Source organism: Homo sapiens, chromosome 18 (genome assembly GCF_000001405.40).
Source record: "Homo sapiens chromosome 18, GRCh38.p14 Primary Assembly".
Taxonomy (NCBI): Eukaryota; Metazoa; Chordata; class Mammalia; order Primates; family Hominidae; genus Homo; species Homo sapiens.
Window position 1 is genome coordinate 71,800,875 of NC_000018.10, and position 7,914 is coordinate 71,808,788.

A 7,914-nucleotide genomic window follows, 5' to 3' on the forward strand; every position below is an offset into this window, starting at 1 on the left:
TTGGGAGAACTTTGAAATTCAAAACCAAGCAAAAATCTTTAGACATGTAAAAACAGAAAGGATTTGTAGAAAACGTGTGAAATGAATGTGTATTTTCCTACTGGTTAACATTTAACAGCAAATATGGCAGGAAAGAGATGAAATTGTTTTTTTCTGGGGGGGTGGGTATAAAGCCCTAAAGTTTTAAAAATTTTGCTTGGTATCTGAATTAATAATAAACCGAAAGTAAAATAAGTCTAGTTATCATAGTACATAAATAAATAGTGCAAAAAATGACGCTTTTCTAGCAAACTTTGTTGTATGTATAATACTGTTTGCAAACAAGCAAATTCAAAGCAATTAACAAGTAAACAATTAAAAAACATAAGAAAATCATTTCTATTTCCACCAAATCATTGTATATTATATTCCTGAGTGTAAATAATACTACAAGGAAAATTGATTAGATCACACATGTTTCTAAATTTAAATATTAGGATTTGGGGCAATGTTCTCAAACCAATCTGTGGACTGAAATCTCCATATGTTGAATGTAGAAAATAAATGAGAACTTTTGTCTTCTGTACTTCTTTCTGGTTTTCATGTTTATTTGTTTTTCTTCTCTTCAGAAAGGGACATTGTATTAGTCCATTTTCACACTGCCATAAAGAACTACCTGAGAGTGAGTAATTTATAAAGAAAAGAGGTTTAATTGACTCACAGTTCAACAGCTGTGCAGGAGGCATGGCTGGGAGACCTCAGGAAACTTACAATCATGGCAGAAGATGAAGGGGAAGCAGGCATGTATTCACATGGTTCCAGGAGAGAGACAGAGTGGATAGAGAAGTGTCACACATTTTTAAACAACCAGCTCTCATGAGAACTCACTCACTATCTCGAGAACAGCAAGGGGGAAATACACAGCCATGATCCAATCACCTCCCACCAGGTCCCTCCTCCAACATCAGGAATTACAACTCAATGTGAGATTTTGGTGGGGATAAAGAGCCAAAACATATCAGACATATTTTCTTGATTTTTCCTATGTTAAGTAAATTTGGATTATATCATGCACCATTTGAATGCTATATTCTGAAAGTAGAGATAAATTTGACATGAGTAGGAAGAGATTCACATTATTGGGAAGTTAAAAGTTATTTTAAACTATTATTAATAAATAATTTTTTTTGTATTTTTTGTTTGTTTTTTTTAAAATTTTCTAATTAATGAATAATAATTGTATATATTTTTGTGGTAGAAGATAATGCTTCTATACAAGTATGGTATACATTATGGAATGAGTAAATCAGATTAACAAGTTAATCAACTAAAAAACTTATTATTTCATTGTGAGAACATTTAAAACCTACTCTTAGCAGTTTTGAAATACGCAATACATGATTATTATGTACAGCCACCTTGTTGTGTACTATGACTTCTTCCCTTTGTCTAACTGAAACTGGCTCACTGCAACCTCTGCCTTCCCTGTTCACGCCATTCTCCTGCCTCAGCCTCCCGAGTAGCTGGGACTACTTTTTTAGATTTCACATATTAATAAGAACAAATGATATTTATCCTTCTGGGCCTGGATTATTTCACTTAGCATAATGTCCTCTAGATTTATTCTTGTTGTCAGAGAGTACAGAATTTTGTATTTTTTAAAGGTTGAATAGTATTTAATTATGTATATATACCACTTTTAAAGAAATCTATTCCTCTCTGGATGGACACTTAGATTATTTCCATATCTTGGCTATCGTGAACAATGTTGCAATGAACATAAGAATGCAGACAGCTCTTCAACATGCTTATTTCAATGACTTTGGGTATATACCAACAAGTGGTATTGCTGGAACATATAGTAATTCTAGTTTTTATTTTTCTTTATTTTTTTGTAACCATACTAAAAACGGTTATACAAATCTACATTCCCACCAGTAGTGTACAAAGGCATTCTGCCTTTCAAATTCTTGTCAATACTTTATATATATATATATATGTATATATATATGTATTATATTAAAAAAAGAAGTCATACAAAAGGCCAAACAGATATATGAAGAGATGTTGAACATGGCTAGTCATTGGAATAATGCCACTGGAACCAGAGTGGGATGTCACCTCATGCCTGTTATAATGGTTGTTATCAAAAAGATAACATGTATCAAAAAGATAAAATGTATATAATGTATATATACACACATATATATGCATATATACATATATCATATATACATATATCTTATATGTATATATACATACATATGCATACATATATACAGGTATGTGTATATATATCCATACATACATATACATATATCTTATATATACATATATGCATATATGCATATATATGTGTATATAAGTATATACGTATATATACACATGTATGTGTGTACACGTGAGTGTGTATATATATATTCACAGAGGGAGAGAGAGATAGGGTATCAGTATGTTGACCAAGCTGGTGTCAAACTCCTGGCCTCAAGCGATCCTGCCATGTTGGCCTCCCAAAATCATGGGATTACAGGCGCCCAGCCCCAATTCTTGTCAATAGTTTTTATCTTTTATCTTTTTGATAACAACCATTATAATAGGCATGAGGTGACATCCCACCCTGGTTCCAGTGGCATTATTCCAATGACTAGCCATGTTGAACATCTCCTCGTATATGTGTTTGGCCTTTTGTATGCCTTCTTTTTCTAATTTTATTTTTGACTGACAAATAATAATTGTACATATCTATGGGATACAGTATGATATTGTGATATGTGTTTACAGTGTGAAATGATTAAATCAGACTAATTAACAAATCCATTCCCTCCCATATTTATTATTTTTTTTGGTTAAAAATGTAAAATCTAGTCTTTTAGCAATTTAAATATATTACACTGCATTACCATTTAGTATAGTCACCATTCTGTGCAATGTGACAACATGAACTGGAGGACGTTATGCTGAGTGAAACAAGTCAGATCAGAATGACAAATGCTTCATGATATCATTTCTATGTGGAATCTCAAAAAGTTGATGTGTTAGTTTGTTTGCACTGTAACAAAGAAATAATCCAAACTGGGTAATTTATAAAGAAAAGAGGTTTAATTGGTTCATGGTCCTACAGGCTGTGTAGGAAGCATGGCGGCAACATTCTTTCTGGTGAGTTCTTCAGGAAGCTTACAAAGTGGTGGAAGGCAAAGTGGAAGCTGATGTATCACCTGATGAGAGCAGCAGTGAGAAAGAGGGGAAGGTGTCACACACATTTAAAAATCAGATCTCCTGGGAACTCAGAGGAAGAACTCATTCATCATCAAGAGGATGGCGCTAAGCCATTCATGAGGGATCCACCACCATGATCCAGACACCTCACACCAGGCCCCGCCTCCTGCACTGGGATTACATTCCTACATGAGGTTTGGAGAGGAGTGGAGAGTACAATGAGAGTTACCAGAGGCTGGAGGAAGGGGTTTGATGGGGAAAAGGGAGATGTTGATAAAAGGCTATAAAATTTCAGTTAGACAGGAAAAATAAGCTTCTTTTAAAACATTGTGGCCAGGTGTGGTGGCTCACATCTGTAATCCCAGCACTTCAGGAGGCCGAGGCAGGCAGATCACCTGAGGTCAGGAGTTCAAGACCAGCCTGGCCAACATTGTGAAACCCCGTCTCCACTAAAAATACAAAAATTAGCTGGCAGGCATCTGTAATTCCAGCTTGTCAGGAGGCTGAGACAGGAGAATTGCTTGAACCCAGGAAGTGGAGGTTGCAGTGAGCTGAGATCGCGCCACTGCATTCCAGCCTGGGTGACAAGAGTGAAACCCCATCAAAAAAAAAAAAATAATTAAAAAACCCACTGTTGTTTATTTTTTATTTTTAATTGACAAATAAAAATGGTGTAATTTATGGAGGACAATGCTATATTTTTATCTATGTATATATATTGTAGAAAGATCAAATGTAGCTAATGCAAGTATAATCTTTGTGAGCCCAGAGACTAAGATGGAGAAGTAAGCTAGGATATCCCCATACAATTATCCTCAGTTAATTCATTTTAAAGTACACCTAGCACGTGTCTGTAGTCCCAGCTACTTGCGAATCAGAGGTAGAAGGATCAACTGAGCTCAGGAGTTCGAGGCTGTAGCAGGCTATGATTGTGCTGCTGCACCACAGCCTGGATGACAGAGTGAGACCTTGTTTCTATATTAAAAAAAAAAAATTAAATCTCGTATACACGTGTTATTCTTAACATTTGCTTCCATTGTTAAACTTTAAGTTGTAATAAGGAGTGCATTTCTCATTTGTTCACCATTGAATCTATAACTGACTAACTTCTAAGTAAATACATTTCGATTCGCTATATTAATTGGGTGTACATATGAGAATGTCGATTGTGACTCTTATAATAGTGTCTTCGGTGTGACTGGGGGGGAATTATATTGGACTCAGATAAAAACTTGTACAAGCAGAAGTTGGTAAGTGCAGATAAAACTTTAAAGAGGTTTGGGCATGAAAGAGAAAAGAGAAATAGATTTGTTATAATGGGAGGATGGGTCTAAGGAGAGTTTGTTTGGAGTCCTGAAAACTTTAATGCATTGGTAGGCTGAACTAACCTTTGTATAAGTGGCCGGTTATTAAAATTCCAGATTGTGGGTTCATTTGGTAATGCATGGAATCACCTCATCTGAGGCCAATAAAGAAGGCCTCACATAACAGAGTTATGTTAGAAATGGAGCTACTCCTGGCTGGGCGCGGTGGCTCACGCCTGTAATCCCAGCACTTTGGGAGGCCGAAGCAGGCAGATCACAAGGTCAGGAGATCCAGACATCCTGGCTAACACGGTGAAACCCAGTCTCTATTAAAAATACAAAAATTAGCTGGGTGTGGTGGCGGGTGCCTGTAGTCCCAGATACTTGGGAGGCTGAGGCAGGAGAATGGCGTGAACCAGGAGGCAGAGCTTGCAGTGAGCCAAGGTCACGCCACTGCACTCCAGCCTGGGCGACAGCAAGACTCTGTCTCAAAAAAAAAAAAAAAAGAAAAGAAATGGAGATACTTCTTAAAAGAAGACATACAAATGGCCAACAAACACACAAAAAAATGCTCAACATTATTAATTATCAGAGAAATGTACATATAAGCCACAATGAGATGCCATGTCACACCAGTCAGAATGGCTATTTTTAAAACCTCAAAAGATAACAGATGTTGGTTGGGCTGCAGAGAAAAGGGTTGCTTATACACTGTTGGTGGGAATATAAATTAGTTCAGCCACTGTGGAAAGCAATTTGGAAATTTCTCAAAGAACTAAAAATGGAAGCACCATTCAACCTGGCAATGCCATTACTGGGTATATACCTAAAAGGAAATAAATTGTTCTACCAAATAGACATGTACTCATATGTTCATTACAGCACTATTACAATAGCAAAGACATGAATCAACCCATGTGCCCATCAACAGTGGATTAGATAAAGAAAATCAGGTACATATATACCATGGAATACTATGCAGCCATAAAAAATGAAATCGTGTTCTTTGCAGCAACATGGATTCCACAAGAGGTAGAAACAGAAAACCAAATATTGCATGTTCTCATGTATAACTGGGAGCTAAACTGAGTACACATGGACATAAACATGAGAACAATAGACACTGGAGACTAGTGGAGGGGCCTGGGAGAGGTGGGTAAGGTGTTGATAAAGTACCTATAAGGTGCTATGCTTATTACCTGAATAACAGACTTGATTGTACTCCAGACCTCAACAGCACACAATATACCTTTGTTAACAAACCTGCACATGAACTCCCTGAATCTAAAATGACAGTTGAATAATAAAAAAGAAATCAAGGTCACTAACATAATCAAATGTCTTATGAGTGACTCTATTGCCTTGATAAGTAAAAGATTTCACAACCCAGCAAAGGTGGGAGTGCAAGGGAGGAGTTGATGTTTGAGGGGACGGATACAGTATTGTGTCCATCAGTGCGAACCTGGAGATTTCTACTGACTCTTAGGAAATAATGTGCAGGCATAGAAGTTCAAATAAGTAGAAGAACAATGTCTGATAGGAGAAATAAAGTAGTTTATGAAGCAGATAAGAATAACATGTTAATGGGAGAATGGATTTGATTTTAGGACGGAGTAACAACAAGATTTAAGCAGTGAATGGCCCAGGGCAGAATGTTGCATCTTTATAAAACAGGCTGAATTAGTGATGAGTTCATGTCCTTTGTAGGGACAAGGATGAAGCTGGAAACCATCATTCTCAGCAAACTATCACAAGGACAAAAAACCAAACGCCGCATGTTCTCACTCATAGGTAGGAATTGAACAATGAGAACACATGGACACAGGAAGGGGAACATCACACACTGGGGCCTGTTGTGGGGTGGGGGGAGGGGGGAGGGACAGCATTAGGAGATATACCTAATGTAAATGACGAGTTAATGGGTGCAGCACACCAACATGGCACATGTATACATATGTAACTAACCTGCACGTTGTGCACATGTACCCTAGAACTTAAAGTATAACAAAAAATAATTAAAAAAAAAAAAAACAGGCTGAATTATAGGGAGCTCTTGAGGAAGATATAAGGACAGGTTGAAGGTGAAAACACTCAAGGAGATTTTTAAAAGGCTGCATTATTTTGGTGAACAAATACTTAGTACTGAAATACAAAATGAACAAAATTCAATCGTGTTGAAGTCTAATTTAATTTTATACTTTTTAAGTATCAGGAACATCTGCAAAGAAAGATGTTCCATTCATCTTATTAGTCAAATTAAAGATTTAAATGTTGATCTGAACTTCAAATAAGTACCGTAGCTTTTCTATAGAAGAACAACATGTTCTCTGTAAATCTCTAGGAGAGATTTTTAAAAAGTTGTTTATCCTATTCTATTTTATTATGGTTTGGAATCAAGCCACACCAGTAAGTAAACTATCTGCAAAATGACTCAATAAGGAATCTGAGAACTTTCTTTTCTGACACCATTTCCACAAGATTTTCCTATGCAATTTGTCCCCTATATCTATAAATATCCTCCATCTATAGATGTTAAGGATACTTACTCAGGTTTCCTTTGTTTATTGATTGTGAGCTAATATGCCACTCTGGGCAGAGCACATGTTTGCAAATAGAACTTATCTATTTCTTGACATACATTAATAATTTATTGGTATAACTTTTAAAGTATTTCCAAAGGGGAATGCTGACCAGAGGAAATAATATATGTGAGCTACTTACTGTGTTTTTTTAAAAACAATCATTTGAGGCTATAAAGATATATAGATACACTTTTTAAATAATCAAAACACATTGTTTATTATAAGATGCATAACAAATATAAATTTTTAAATACAACCATAATTATAAAAAAAGAAACAAGCACAAATTTAAAGGGAAGAGTTGCTTTTCTCTTAACATGATAAATATATCATGCTTTGAAATTATGGAATCTCTTCACTTCCATTAGTATTAGTACAAAACATTTTATAGTTAGAATTTGTCTAATAGATTGCAGGGGAGAAAACATATAATCCTTCTCAACCCTCTTAAGCTTGTAGTGGAGACCCTCTTCTGAAATAAAGGACAGACTATCAGGAGAAAAATATGCAGGTTTAGTAATATGTGCTATGCCCATGATGGGGGAAAAAAGTAACTCTCTCAACTCAGTGGCTTAAGAGCTGTGCTTAAATAGTATTTTAGCAAAGAACAATAAATCTCACCATGGTGAGGAGACAAAGGAGTTGGCAGTCTCAGGTTCTTAGACACGGGACACCGTGGGAAGGATGTAAAATCTGCTTCCAGGTTCCCCTGGCCCCACTGGGCCACCTTTGAGATGAAAAGGAAGCAGCATTGTCATCTCTATCTGTAGGCCAAAAGTCGGGAAAGCGGGCAGGACAACTTTCTATTTTTGTGAATCGGGCACACAGATGGG